The following is a 15,618-nucleotide window of genomic DNA, read 5'->3' on the forward strand; positions in this document are numbered from 1 at the left end:
GAGGCGGGTGGATTGCCTGAGGTTGGGAGTTTGAGACCAGTCTGGCCAACATGGTGAAACCCTGTCTCTACTAAAAATACAAAAAAAATTAGCTAGGCATCGTGGTGTGGGCCTGTAATCCCAGCTACTCAGGAGGCTGAGGCAGGGGAATTGCTTGAACCAGGGAGGTGGAGGTTGCAGTGAGCTGAGATCATGCCACTGCCCTCCAGCCTGGGCGACAGAGCGAGATTCCGTTTCAAAATAAATAAATAAATAAATAAATAATAAAAACAGAATTACCATAGGATCTGGCAATTCCACTTCTAGGTCTATACCAAAAAGAATTGAATTGAGAGCAGGGTCTCAAAGAGACATTTGTATCCATGTTCACAGCTGCATTATCCACAATAGCTAAAAAGTGGAAGCTGTCCAAGTGTCCATTGGCAGATGAATGGATACACGAAATGTGGTATACAATAGAATCTTATTCTGCCTTAGAAAGGAAGAAAATTCTTAAGGCTGGGTGTGATGGTTCACATTTGTAATCCTAGCACTTTGAGAGGCCAAAGTGGTAGAATCGCTTGAGGCTAGGAGTTTGAGACCAACCTGGGCAATATAGTGAGCCTCCCTTCTCTACAAAAAATAAAAAAATTATCTAGGCATGGTGGTGTGCACTTGTTAGTCCCAGCTACTAGGGAGGCAAGAGAATCGTTGAGTCTAGGAGTTTGAGGCTGCAGTGATTTCCACATTGCACTGTAGCCTGGGTGACAGAGTGAGATGCTGTCTTAAAAAATAAACAGGAAGGAAACTCTTGCACAAGCTACAACATGGATGAACCTTGAGGATATTATGCTAACTAAAGTAACCAGTTACAAAAAGACAAATACTATATGATTTCACTTATATGAGGTATATAAAGTAGTCAAAGTCATAAAGACAGAAAGTGGTTGCCAGGGGCTGGGAGTAGCAAATAGAGTTATTGTTTTTCTTTTTAAAATTTTTTTAGAGATGGGGTCTCACTATGTTGTCCAGGCTGGAGTGCAAGGGCCAATCGTGAATGAAATCATAGCACACCACAGCCTCAAACTCATGGGCTCAAGCAATCCTCCCACCTCAGCCTCCCAAGTACCTGGGACTATAGGTGTGAGCCAGCACATCTGGCTTGAGTTATTGTTCAGTGGGTACAGAGTTTCTGTTTTACAAGATTAAAAGAGTTCTGGAGATGCATGGTGGTGAGAGTTGCATAACAATGTAAATGTACTTCATACTCCTGAAACGTACACTTCAAAACAGCTATGATGGTAAATTTTATGTTATGCATATTTTACCACAGTAAAAAAAAATGGAAAAACAAAAGCAGGGGTGGTAATATTCAAATTAGTCAAAGTATATATCCACAGAAAAAGCTTTTCATATTGAAATGGGAACCACCCATAATAAAGACCAAGCCATGATGGAGCAACTGGTACCAGATTTGCTCTGGCCCCAACAAAAACAACTATTATTAAAAAAGGACAAATTGGCAGGGCGCTGTGGCTGACACCTGTAATCCTAGAACTTTGGGAGGTTGAGGTGGGTGGATTGCCTGAGGTCAGGAATTCAAGACCAGCCTGGCCAACGTGGTGAAACCCTGTCTCTACTAAAAATACAAAAATTAGTTGGTGTGGTGGCGGGTGCCTATAATCCCAGCTACTCTGGAGGCTGAGGCACAAGAATCGCTTGAACCCGGGAGACGAAGGTGGCAGTGAGCCGAGATCGTGCCATTGCACTCCAGCCTGGACAACAGGAGCAAACCTCCGTCTCAAAAAAATAAATAAATAAAGGGACAAATCAAACAACTGTTTTTAGACACGAGACTAGGCAGGACTGTGATCCTTGAGAGAAGGGAAGCAAGCTGAGGGGAGGAGGCAGCAGCTTACTGCCCAGAGGCACTTCCTGGACTGCAGAGCCAAGCATAATGAAGAAATAATGGAAGATTCAAAAAAGGAACAAAATGAAATTCCTGGAGCTTCAAAACACCACATCTGATATGAAAAGTTCACTGGATGGGTTTAATAAAAATGCAGAAGTAAAGATAAGTGAATTTGAAGACATAGCAGTAGAAACTATCTAAATTAAAGCTCGGAAGGAAAAAAAGACAGAGAAGAAATGAACAGAAGAAATTAAAAAACCAGAAGTTCAGTGACCTGTGGGATGATACCAAACAGTCTAACACACACAGAGTGGGAGTCCAGGATGGGAGAAGGGGTGGCAGAAAATACCTTTGAAGAAATGATGGCCAACAATTCTTCACATTTTATATTTAGAAACCCAGAAATCCGAGAATCTCAATAAACCCCAAGGATGATAAACATAAAGAAAACCATACTGAGATACATCATAATCAAATTGCTAAAAATCAGCAATAAAGAGAAAATATTCCAGCCTAGGCAACATCATGAGACTCCGTCTCTACAAAAATTAGAAAAGATTAGCCTGGCATGGTGGCAAGTGCCTGTAGTCCCAGCTAGTCAGGAGGTTGAGATGGGAGGATGGCTTGAGCCCAGGAAGTTGAGGCTACAGTGAGCTATGATTGCACCACAGCACTCCAGCTTGGGTGACAGAGTAAGATCTTGTCTTGAAAAAAAAAAAAAAAAGAAGAAAAGAAAATATTAAAGGCAGTCAGAGAAAAAGGAGGTAACATTATATCCAGAAGAGCAAAGATGAGAATGACAACAGACTTCTCTTAGAAACAATGCAACCCAGAAGTCAGCAGAAGAGCATTTTTTTTTTTTTGAGACAGAACATCACTCTGTTGCCCAGGCTGGAGTGCAGTGGCACAATCTCAGCCCACTGCAACCTCTGTCTCCTGGGTTCAAGCAATTCTCCTGCCTCAGCCTCCCGAGTACGTGGGATTACAGGTACCCACCACCATGCCTGGCTAATTTTTGTATTTTCAGTAGAGATGGGGTTTCACCATGTTGGCCAGGCTGGACTCAAACTCCTGACTTGAGGTGATCCGCCCGCCTCAGCCTCCCAAAGTGCTGGGATTACAAGGGTGAGCCACCGCACCTGGCGAGAACAGCATCTTTAAAGAGACAAAGGCCGTGCTGGTTCACCTCATTTGTGTCTCCAGATCCCTGGGAGGTTGGCTATGGCTGACTGCAGCTACCAAGCTCCCGTGGCCGCTGATTTCTTGTTGAGCTAGACCATGAGGAACCCTAGCAGGAGGCCACAGGGAGGGAGGAGAGTGAGGTTGAGGTGTCAACTCCCAGGCTCACTCCTGAGAATGGTCTAGGGCTCACCCAAGGTCCCATCCTGTTAGGCTGCCTTTTCCTCTCTGCTCCCAGCCCCTAGGTTCCTGTATCCTTTCTCTCTCCTCTCCTTTGCCCAAGGGGAGCAATGGTCACTGTTGTTACAATATGATGCAGCAGCCCTGCGGTATCTGGGAGGTAGACAGGGAGGGAGGGACGGTAACTACCGCATCGATCTCGTTGAGGACCTTCCACTGTTCATAGGGCACACCCAGTGCCTCAGCCGTCTGGATTGTCCTCTTCATCTGGCTTGTCCAGACCTTCAGATCCTTGATATTTTGGTCACTGATGAACTGGGCTAGACTCTTGGCAAACTGAAATACATCATAAGCAAACTCAGACCCACAGGTCTTGGGCTGCCCTTAAAGCATCCCATAGCCGCAGGGTCCATGAGATCACCCTCGCCTTGAACACTCACTACAGGTTTGGTAAAAAGCATGAACTAACTTGTCGATGACACACATGCTGACACACAAGAACACAAGTGCTGTTCCTGTGCACCCTCCCAGACCCTGAGCACAGCAGCACAGTTACAGCTGAGACTCATCAGGGCCACTGCCTCCCCACAACCAGGTGCCCTGTGCTACGTGACCACTGAGGTCTCCCCTGGACTGTGGCACAGCTATCTGCTACACTGTATGGACTCAGGTCGCTCTAAGGGTGGCATGCCTCTGACAAAAGGGGCTCAGTGAGTGACAGCTCACATGGAAACCAGAGATCCAGGCATTTGCCTGTTGCTTGATGACCTTCCCTACATGATGGGAAGATTCTAGGTTGAATGAAGGTCATTCACCTCGACTGCACATTAAAAGAATGGGAGCCTAGCCCCAGCGCACTCACACATGCATATACCCAGCCACGCAGGGTACAAATGCAGGCCCGTGTGCGCACGCAGGGACACATGCACTGACCTCCCTGCCCCGAGGGGACAGTCCTGGGTCCCCGCCAATCCGGCCCTTGAGGTTGAGCTCGCTCTCCCCGTGCCGGCAGAGGTAGATGGAGCGGGGGGTCACGTGGATGTTCATGAGGTAATATACGATGCGGCTCTGGATGTGGTCAGCCACACGGTTCACCACGTAGCTCTGGCCCACATCCATGATCTTGATATAGGACAGGTCCCTGTCCAGAGAGAAAGTAGAAAGAGGCCTGTGAGCGTGGCCAGGGTTCTCACAGAGCACATCTGGCTAGCCACGGAATCTAGCTGCGAGGCCTTGCACTTCCAACCACCAGAGATTACAACCCTCAGGACCGTCAGCTGGTGTGCGAGTGATGGGGGTGAGGCGGGAGCAACACAGTGCGTGTGACGCACAGGCAAACCCTGTGGGAGACGGGAGATGGGAGGTGCTCGTCACTCATCATGCTTCCCAAAGGTGACATCCAAAGTGGGGGGTCCGCCATACCACATCATGACTTTCTCCGCTGCTCATGTGTCCCTGGGGCCCCTGTTGGCCTATCTCCGCACTCTCAATACACTGTCTGTAAGTTGAACCAAGAGACAGTTTTCCCGAGGGTTGTTGACTTGGGAGTAGCTGGCAAACGCTCCACGCCCTCACTCTTCCTGGTCAGCTGTACAAGGACCTGGCCTTTCCTTCCCCAGTGACCTCCTCCCACTAGAGCCCAGTCCTGGTCATCCAAGTGTGCTGAGCAGCTGCCACACCCCATCCTGGGCAGCTGGTGGATGAGACAGGAAGCACAGGAGGATGGTGCTGGTGGTGGCAGCCGATAAGTCCAGCTCAGCCACTTTCCCTACTCTGGACCTATGTGGCACTGCAGCTTGGACAGCACATTGATCAGTCTCTGGGTGTGGGGGTGCAGGGTGGGCTCTGGTTCAGGCTGAGAGTCCTCTGGATATTCTCAGTTGAGCTCTCACTGTCTGGACCTTGGGACCTTGGTTTGGGGGTGTCACGATGACACCACCAATAAAAGCAAGAGCAACGCTTACTGACAAATCCAACAGAAGCCGCTCCAGACAAATGGATCACATCACAGAACCATGAAGAGAAATGCTGTGCTGGGGGACCATGAAAGCCATAGAGAGGCCCAGGTGGCAGGTGCCATTCAGCTCAGGCCCGGCCTGGGCTGGCTCTAGAACCCAGCTGAGGACCCTGCTCTATGCACACCCCAAAAGCATTCATCTCAGAGTTGCTTGTGTTTCTTGGTTCATGTGCATCCTTTTTTTTTTTTTTTTTTTTTTTTTGAGACAGGGTCTCACTCTGTCACCCAGGCTGGAATGCAGTGGTGCAACTGCAACTCACTACAGCCTTGACCTCCCTGGGCTTAGGTGATTCTCCCACCTCAGCCTCCCGAGTAGCTGGGACTACAGCCATGCGCCACCACACCAGGCTAATTTTTGTATTTTTTGTAGAGACGGGGTTTCACCATGTTGCCCAGGCTGGTCTCAAAATCCTAGGCTCATGCAATCCTCCCGCCTCAGCCTCCCAAAGTGCTAGGATTACAGGCATAAGCCACTCTGCCCGGCCCGTATTACACAATCTTATAGAATTACAGAACCTAAGCACAAGTTTGTATTCCAGCCTTTTCACTGAATGCAATATTATATTTTCCCATGTCTCTCCACAATGACGAGTTGTAATGATGACTGTAATACTTCACCAAGGGCTACATTATTATTTACCCAGCCACTGCCCCATGTGTTCTGTAAGACAGGATTTGGTAAACTGTGGCCAGCCAGTCGAACTCAGCCGTGGGCTGTTTTTATCAAGTTTTACTGGAACACAGCTATGCCCATTGATTTACATATCATCTATGTTTCATTTGTACTGTGACAGCAGAGTGAGTGCCTGCAACAGAGACTGTACATCCTCCAAGGTCTAAATAAAATATTTACTCTCTGATCTTTGACAGAAAATATTTGCCAACCCCTGCTTTAAGACCCCTTGCATAGAAATTCGGCTTGATTTCATGATGGAATAGTATAAAATCCTGACTCGCAGAGTTTTGGATGAGGTAACCGGTGTTCTGCAAGTCACCTCTGACCAAACATTTCTGCCCCAAGGAAATAAACAAGAAAGGTCAGACCATCTCTGCTTTTTGGTCCTCCAGCCACCACCATGGGGAGCCATAGGAGGCAGCCAAGTATGACCCCTGCCGCCCACCATCACAGCTGCAGGGCCTGGCGCTGCCCTGACTCACCTATCCAGGTCCTCATCTAGCGACTCGTAGGAGTTCTCATAGCACTCAATGCGCCTCATGAAGTCCTCCGTAGCCTCATCACTGTCGCGGTTGACATAGTCAGGGCTGCCCAGTTTCACTTGCTGCCGGAGCCAGGCACAGAGAAAGGACATATCAGGGTCAGGAGCCAGGCGGGGCCAGAGACCAAGGAGACTGCTGGGCAGGGGGCTGGAGGAGGTTGCACCGGAGACCAGTGCGGGAACCTGAGGCTGGAAGCTGAGGTGGGGGCTGGTCCAGCAGCTCCCTGGTCTGAGTTCTCACACCAGTGCCAAGAGGGTATCACTGAGGGTCCAGGGATTGAAGTCCCTCATCCTTGTGGTACAGGGGGAGGCCTGGAGGCCGTTCCCCACCCTGAACTCTCATTTTCCCAGACCCAGATGCCCATTCCTCAGATAAACTGGGGGAGGGGAAGGAAAGAATGAGTCTTTCTTTCTCTGAAATATAAAACATGCCCCTCACCCACCCTTCCACCCCTGCTGAAGGTGCTCTCCTAGTGTCCAGGTGGTTACGAGGCGGAGGTGGGGTGAGTGAATGTCCACCAGCCACCCAGCCTTCCACAGTGATCCACAGAGGGCGAGGCATACCTGACCCAGCATTTGAAGTTACACTTCCTCCCTACCCCCACAAGGTTCAAGATCAAATTAAGGTTAGCCAAAACCTGAAAAGGGATGTCCCTGTCACACACGACCTTCTGACAAGGTCAGATGCACTACTCACCACGATGTTGGCAGCTATGACCTCAGGATCCACACAGATGGACTCGACAAAAAAGGTCTGCGGCAGGACCAGAAGCGCCGGGGTGGTGGGAGGGAGGAACACGGACATGTTCAGGGCCTCCCGCCTTGCTCCTCGGAGCTCTCCATCCCCTGAGGCCCATGCTGACAAGCAGCCAGGCCCTGAAACCCTGCTTCAGAGGGCTGGAGGCGGGGTCAAGGAGTCCAGAGCTAAAGCAGGTGCTGCCCTCTCCTAGACTCTCCCACGAAAACCCCCTTCCCTCTGGAAAGCAAACCCCAAGTGGAGACAGCCCCTCTCATCCCAAATTACACTCAGGAGCCATGCCAGCCCCATGCCCCTCATGCATAAGCAGGCGGTGAAAGGAGCCCTGGAGGGCAGGGGACATGCCACAGTTCCGCCAAGGAGAGGAGCCAAGGAGGCCTCACCTTGTAGCCATTCTGTTCTCCAAAATTAAAGATGGTCGCTCTCCGTTCTCGGGTGGTGTTTGTGGCATCAAAAACCTAGGACCAAACTAGGGTTAACTCAGCCTCTGGCCCTGGGGAAGGAAGGGGCCAGAGTGGGCCCTGAAGTGGGCAGTGAGGGCCGCAGCACAGGCTCTCTGGGGACTGGATTTCTCATAAGGACCAGCTGCTGCCAGGTCCACCTGCCTGGCCAGTCTCCTCCAGACTTGCAACGGCTGGGCTGGCCCTCCCCTTCCTTGGAGAGAATGCCCCAAGGAAGTTAGAAGGAGAGGATGCCTGTGCTCCCAGCAGGGGAGCAGACCCGTGGCACAGAAGAACCTACTCAGTGCTGCTCTGCACACAGTGGGCACTCAGTTTGTGTTTGACCAACAGGAATTGCAGTGAAACCAGTTAAACCTAGTAAACTGAACCTATGTTTATTTCTACTCCATCCTGACACCCCAGTAAAATGGGAACAGAAGGATAAAGAGAAAAAGAGATGACAGGAGAAAAAGGAGACAACAGGAGATGGAGACATCAACACAATTCTGTCAGAGAGATCCACGGTGACGGACTCAGAGTCATGTAGGAAACCAAACACAGGTGCTGGCCAACCAGAGCACACCACCTGTGCAGGACCAGAGCACTCCAGAGGGTGCAGTGGCATTGCTAAGAAAAGGGACAAAGGTGGGGACGAAATGGGAGGACTAGCTGGCTGATAAAGAAGAGCTGGAGGCCCAGGCCCCCTTCCCAACCCCATCCAGCCAGGCACTGACCCATCTGGAGCTCTTTGAGAAGTACCTGGGGCCTGCACAAGCATCCTCTGAGTAGCCTCCTGAGTAGCTGGGACTACAAGTGTGCACCACACCTCGGTTACAGCATCATTTTTTTGTTTTTATTTAAAAAAAATTTTTTTGAGACAGGGTCTCACTCTGTCGCCCAGGCTGGAGCGTAGTGGAGCAATCATAGCTCACTGCAGCCTCAACCTCCTGGGCTTAAGTTATTCTTTCGCCTCAGCCTCCCAAGTAGCTGGGATTACAGGCATGTACCACCATACCTGGCTAATTTTTTTTTTTTTTTTGAGACAGAGTCTTGCTCTGTCGCCCAGGCTGCAGTGCAGTGGCGTGATCTCGGCTCACTGCAACCTCCGCCTACTGGGTTCAAGCGATTCTCCTGCCTCAGCCTCCTGAGTAGCTGGGATTACAGCTACTTGTGCCACCACGCCTGGCTAATTTTTGTATTTTTAGTAGAGACGAGGTTTCACCATGTTGGGCAGGCTGGTCTCGAACTCCTGACCTCATGATCTGCCAGCCTTGGCCTCCCAAAGTGCTGGGATTACAGGGGTGAGCCACTGTGCCCAACCACATCTGGCTAATTTTTTTTTTTTTTTTGAGACGGAGTCTTGCTCTGTCACCCAGGCTGGAGTGCAGTGGCGCGATCTCAGCTCGCTGCAAGCTCTGTCTCCCAGGTTCACGCCATTCTCCTGCCTCAGTCTCCCATCTGCCTCCTGGGTTCAGGCCATTCCCCTGCCTCAGCCTCCCGAGTAGCTGGGACTACAAGCGCCTGCCACAACGCCCAGCTAATTTTTTGTATTTTTTTAGTAGAGATGGAGTTTCACTATATTAGCCAGGATGGTCTTGATCTCCTGACCTCGTGATCCACCCGCCTCAGCCTCCCAAAGTGCTGGGATTACAGGTGTGAGCCACCGCACCTGGCCCACACCTGGCTAATTTAAAAATTTTTCTGTAGACACAGAGTCTCGCTATGTAAGCTGGTCTCAAACTCTTGGGCTCAAGCAGTCCTCCTGCCTCAGACTCCCAAAGTGCTGGGATTACAGGCATGAGCCACCATGTCAGCCCAGCATCACTTTTTTAAAAAGGGCATCCAGCCAGGGCTCACTGGACACTCCAGCAAAACCTTTAACAAGAAAAACAGAAACTAAATCAAACAAACAAACAAAAAAAGAAATTTGGGCCGGGTGCAGTGGCTTATGCCTGTAATCCTAACACTTTCGGAGGCTGGGGCAGGCAAATTGCTTGAGGCCAGGAGCTTGAGACAAGCCTGCTCAACAAGGTGAAACCCTGTCTCTGTGAAAAATACAAGAATTAGCCAAGCATGGTGGCACGTGCCTGTAGTCCCAGCTACTCAGGAGGCTGAGGTGTGAGGATCACTTAAGCCTAGGAGACAGGCTGCAGTGAGCTATGATTGAGACACTACACTCCAGCCTGGGCAACAGAGCAGGACCATGTCTCAAGGAAATAAAAAACAACAACACTCATATACTTGTAAGATAATGTTGAAGAAGTCTTTCTCAAAACAAACAACCAAAAAAAACAGAGAAAATAAAGAGAAAGGCTGGGCGTGGTGGCTCACGCCTGTAATCCCAGCACTGTGGGAGGCAGAGGCAGGCGGATCACGAGGTCAGGAGATCGAGACCATGGTGAAACCCCATCTCTACTAAAAATACAAAAAATTAGCCGGGCACAGTGGCGGGGGCTTGTAGTCCCAGCTACTCAGGACGCTGAGGCAGGAGAGTGGCGTGAACCCAGGAGGAGGAGCTTGTAGTGAGCCGAGATCACGCCACTGCACTCCAGCCTGGGTGACAGAGCGAGACTCCATCTCAAAAAAAAAAAAAAAGAAAGAAAGAAAATTAAGAGAAAAAAGATAAAATCAGAATCTCAGAATCAAGCTAGCATGTAGCCACCAGAAGTTCTAGAAAAAGCAGCTCAGAAAATGGGAGTAGGGATGGAGTGAGTTGCCAGAAAGGGGCAGAGGTGATTTGTCAAAGAAATAATACATGACAATTTCCCTGACCTGGAGAACAAGAGTGTTATGATGAAAAGGGGCCCCCTAGGACCATGTATGGTGGAGAGAAGACCCACCACAAACCACATCACCTTGAAGACCCTAAAGGCCTCCCAAGCGGAAGGGGCATGAGAAACTCTCAGCTCCCTCTAAGAGATGAAGCTTTTAGGAAGATCAGCAAATCAGAATGACATGAGACTTCTCCACAGCCACACTAGAAGCCATAAGACATCAGAGTGATGTTGTAGAAGTTCTAAGGGAAAAGCACTTTCCACCTAGAAATTCTATACCCAACCATCAAATGTGAGGATTAAAAAAAGACATTTCAGATGTGCAAGGTCTCACACAATTTACCTCCCCAAGCACCTTTCTCAGGAAGTTACTGGAGGATGTGCTTCAATGAAACAAATCAGTAAGTCAAAGAGAGGATGATGTGGGATCCACAGGCAGAACATTCAACCCAGGAGAGAGAAGGGCAATGGCTGTGCTACAGGCACAGATTGTAGCTGGGGACAGAGAACTCCAGAAGGCATGACTCCAGGAAGAAGAAGGAAGGGAAAGAACAGCCCCTGTGTTTGACTATATAAGGCTGGGGTAGAGCCGTTTCCCACAGACACCCCAGTTTAGCCCTGTTCTGCTCTTCCGTCTGACTAGAAGGGCCAACACACAGGTGGAATCCCCTTAATCCAGGATTCAGTGGGTTCCTACAACAACCAGTAATGCTGGGCAGGATTCTCCCCACACCAGGAGAAATCACATTTACTAAAGACTTAGGCAACCTGATACCTGTAACTTCTGGGGTGGCCAAGAATACAAGCATCCAGAGGGAAGTCCTGCAGGGTCAAATGCGGCCACCACATGCCCAGAGGGAAACTCCTGGCCCATATCCAGTCTCTGGCTTCCTCCTGCATAGCTGTTGCAGACTTCCTCCCAAGGGCTGGCACCCAGAGCAGCTGGGGCACACACACCCTGCCTTCCCCTCCAGATGCCTGACGAGCAAAGGCACAGATGTGGATGGGCTCCCATGTGTCACTCCCAGCTGTCACCAGGGTGTCACACTCACCGCCACATGTCCCCCCTCCTCACTAAGGAACCGCCGGACGTCACGGAGGGCTGCCAGGGCACACTGCCTTCAGGAGAGAAAACACAGGGTCAGCCCAGCACCCGACCCTGGCTCCAGGAGGGTGGCCAGGGACACACAACAGGAGGAGACATGACAGGAGAAGGAACAGCCCCGAGGTCTCTTGCTCTCTTTTCAAAGTTTCCCTTCTCTTTCCTTAGGATAATGTTCAGTGTTTGGCTAACTCTGCTCCTGTGAGGTGGAAGGCTATACACTCTTGGCTATTAGGAACATTTTTTAAGCACTACGTTTCTGTATTTTCCCTCATCCTCTCATTGTGCACAAATCCATGCTGTCATTGTGCCACATTCATGATTTCTAATTGTCATATATTTTCCCTGATTATCAAAATAAGCCCCCCCCCGCCCGCCTTTTATTTATTTATTTATTTTTTTTGAGACTGAGTCTCGCTCTGTCACCCAGGCTGGAGTGCAGTGGTGCGATCTCGGCTCACTGCAACTTCTACCCAGTTTCAAGCAATTTTCGTGCCTCAGCCTACTGAGTAGCTGGGATTACAGGCGTGCACCACCACGCCCAGCTAATTTTTATATTTCAAAATAAGCATTTTTAAAAGCAGCCGTTTTCTTGTGTGCATGTCAGGAGTTGGTGGTGGGGATGGGAGGAACACTAGGGCTGGCCCTCGGGCAGTGTTAGGCTTAGTGCTCAACTTTCTTTCCTGAAAGAGAGTTCCCCAAACCACCCCTTCTGAGGGAGGGTTCTGCATCTCTTCTTCTATCATATCCATACCCTCCAGAATGGGAATCCCCCACCTATGACCAAACACTGACTATACAGTTTTCAGATCTTTTTTTTTTTTTTTTTTTTTTTTGAGATAAGGTCTCGCTCTGCCACCTAGGCTGGAGTGCAGCAGTGGGATCATGCCTCACTGCAGCCCAAACTCCTGGGCTCAAGCAATCTTCCTGCCTCAGCCTCCAGAGTAGCTGAAACTACAGGGATATGCCACCACACCTGGCTAATCTTTAAATTTCTTTTAGAGATGGGGTCTTGCTATGTTGCCCAGGCTTACACAATCTTTTTAAGTTCTCAGCTTTTTCATTTATTGCTGCAAAGTGGATTGACACAGAAGGTTTGTTTTTTTTTTTAGACAAGAGTCTTACTCTCTGTTGCCCAGGCTGGAGTGCAGTGGTGCAATCTCAGCTCACTGTAACCTCTGCCTCCCAGGTTCAAGCAATTCTTGTGCCTCAGCCACCCAAGTACCAGGGATTATGGGCACGTGCCACCACATCTGGCTAATTTTTGTATTTTCAGTAGAGATGGGGTTTCGCCATGTTAGCCAGGCTGGTCTCGAACTCCTGACTTCAAGTGATCTGCCCACTTTGGCCTCCCAAAGTGCTGGGATTACAGGCGCGAGCCACTGCACCCAGCCAGGATTATTCTCATCAATTTATCCTATGAGGTCTGGAGATAGATAAATTACCTTTTTATCTATTATCTTCCCTTTTTCTATGTAAGGGTAAAGCTAGATCTCCTAGCTTTGTGTTTTTTGTTTTTTGAGACAGAGTCTCACTTTGTTGCCCAGGCTGGAGTGCAGTGGCATGATCTCAGCTCACTACAACCTCCACCTTCTGGGTTCAAGCAATTATCCTGCCTCAGCCTCTCGAGTAGCTGGGATTACAGGCATGTGCCACCACACCCAGCTAATTTTTTGTATTTTTAGTAGAGATGGGATTTCACCATGTTGGCCATGTGGGTCTTGAACTCCTGACCTCAGGTGATCCACCCTCCTCAGCCTCCCAAGTGCTGGGATTGCAAGCTTGAGCCACAGTGCCCAGCCCTCCTGGCTTTGTTGATCTTTGGATTTTGTGTTTAAACTCCCAGCATGTCAAAGTCAAAGGGCTCTCATCAGGACGATATGCCTGAAATACAGCGGCAGAAGCTGATCTGAGAACCACAAAGAAATCAGTGGTAGAGCTGAGTCCAGGGCACTGAAAAGAGCTCTACTCTTACGGCTCCTTGTGACATTTCTTTTCTTTCTTTTGTTTTTTTTTTTTAAGAGACAGGGTCTCACTATGTTCCCCAGGCTGGTCTTTAACTCCTAGCTTCCAGTGATCCTCCCGCCACAGCCTCCCAAAATATTGGGATTACACATGTGAGCTACTATGTCCAGCCCTTGTAACCATTTCTGTGCCCCAATGGGTCTTCCAGTTAAAGCCTCAAAGTGCTTTCTTCCTCATGCCAAAAACATCTGAATTCTGAGAGTCCAGGTAACTGGCATTGGTAGGGACATTTCTCCTTAGAGCCCCACGTTCTGGGCTAAGATCTCTTTTGTGGGCTGCTCTGGCCATGACACCACCATGCAGGAGAGACCTCAGGGCCCCGGTGGAGATGCTGAGGGAAGAGCCTGGGAGCCTGTGTGTGTGCGTGTGTGTGTGTGTGTATAAGAGAGTGCAAATGGGGTGAAGAGATGCATATGTGCATGAATCCACACGTGTGGGTGGTTATGTGTGTGTTGTGCCCAAGTGTGTACATGTAAATCTGTGAGTGTACCTGTGTGAGTATTCCCTGGGCCCATGTATGAGCACAGGTGCACACACACGAGCGTGCACAACCCCTGTGTGCGGTATGTGACTAAATGGGCACAGGTATGAGTGAGTGTGCCCACATGTGTGCACACAGGATGTGTGTGCATGCACCCATGTGTATAAGTTTGTGTGTGTGTGTCCAAGCATATACAGAGTATGCATGTGGGGGTGACCATGTGTGTACACATGGTGTGTGTGTATACATGTCTTCATGTGCCATGTGACTGTGTGAGAACATATGCGATCATGCTTGGTGTGTACATGTGCACAGATCCACATGTGCATACAGGTGAACACAAGCGTATATGTGCCCACACACATGACTCTGAGGTATGCATATGTGTGTGCACCCACCTTCATGTGTAGTGGGTGACTGCATGTGTGTGGAAGAGTTAACACAGCAGGTATGAGAATGGTCCCCTTCGAAAGGCCTGCTTGTGAGGTTGGCCCTTGGCCAGGGTTGGGGAACTTGATGGTAAACAGTTCCCTCTAGTGATATGAAACTTTCCCTGAATTATAAGAGGAGCTCACTGTGCATAGACTGTTTATACAAACAACATGGTTTATGTTGATTATCTGCTTTCCTTCTGGGAGTCTGGAATTTTGGTACATGCTAGGCACAGGGTGCCTATATGACCAGCCCCCAGTAAAAACCTTGGTCGTTGAGTCTCTGATGAATTTCCCTGGCAGACAACATTTTACACATGTTGTCAATGTTCAATGCAGGAGGAATTAAGTGCGTCCTGTGTGACTCCATGAGGAGAAAATCTTGATGCTCGCTCCTGGTTTCCTCTGGACTTCACCCCAGGCCCCTTTTTCTGATTTTGCTTTGTGTCATTTTGCCGTACTAAGTCTTAGCCATGAGTCCAGCTATATGCCAAGTCCTGGGAGTCACCCTAGCAAATCACTGAACCTGAGGGCAGTCTTGGGGACCCCCTACACACCATGTATGAGCGTGCTCAGGTGTGTGTGTATATACAGGGTGAGAACATGTGCGCCTTCGTGTGTGTAATGGCCCTTGAATTACGTGTGGCTTAAGTGAGCCCAAGTATTTATATGTGTAGGTGCCCACACATGTACATATACCCTTATGTATAACGTGACTGTGTACACAGGGGGTGTGCATGTGTATGTACCCTGTGCATATGGTATACGCATGTCCGGATGTGTGCCTATGAGGTATGCACATGCATGCATGTGCCCACGTGTGTGTGTGCATAGGGGGCTTGTGTGTGGTATAGGACTGTGTGCAGGAGTATGAGTGTGCCTGTTTAGAATATGTGTACTTATGCCCTTGCATACACTTTGTTTTTGAGACAGAGTCTTACTCTGTCACCCAGGCTGGAGCACAGAGACGCAATCTTGGCTCATTGCAACCTCCACCTCCCAGATTCAAGCAATTCTCATGCCTCAGCCTCCTGATGTAGCTGGGATGACAGGCGCCCCACCACATGTGGCTAATTTTTGTAATTTTAGTAGAGATGGGGTTTTGCCATGTTGGCCAGGCTGGT

General features: G+C 49.4%; 1 protein-coding gene across 17 annotated transcripts in view; it reads right to left on the reverse strand.

The window, feature by feature from the left end:
* Positions 1 to 15,618, reverse strand: part of PFKFB4 (6-phosphofructo-2-kinase/fructose-2,6-biphosphatase 4) — a 45,453-nt gene that overhangs the window by 14,389 nt on the left and 15,446 nt on the right. For 16 of the 17 annotated variants that reach the window (XM_011533829.3, XM_047448304.1, NM_001317136.2 and 13 more), the window contains 6 exons: positions 11,508 to 11,574; positions 7,625 to 7,699; positions 7,182 to 7,238; positions 6,426 to 6,547; positions 4,184 to 4,391; positions 3,440 to 3,586 (listed from right to left, as the gene is read on the reverse strand). In XM_011533829.3, coding sequence (XP_011532131.1) covers positions 3,440 to 3,586; positions 4,184 to 4,391; positions 6,426 to 6,547; positions 7,182 to 7,238; positions 7,625 to 7,699; positions 11,508 to 11,574 — 676 coding nt within the window. The remainder of the gene's footprint in view (positions 1 to 3,439; positions 3,587 to 4,183; positions 4,392 to 6,425; positions 6,548 to 7,181; positions 7,239 to 7,624; positions 7,700 to 11,507; positions 11,575 to 15,618) is intronic. The other variant, NM_001317135.2, reaches the window with a different exon arrangement.

Source organism: Homo sapiens, chromosome 3 (assembly GCF_000001405.40).
Source record: "Homo sapiens chromosome 3, GRCh38.p14 Primary Assembly".
NCBI lineage: Eukaryota > Metazoa > Chordata > Mammalia > Primates > Hominidae > Homo > Homo sapiens.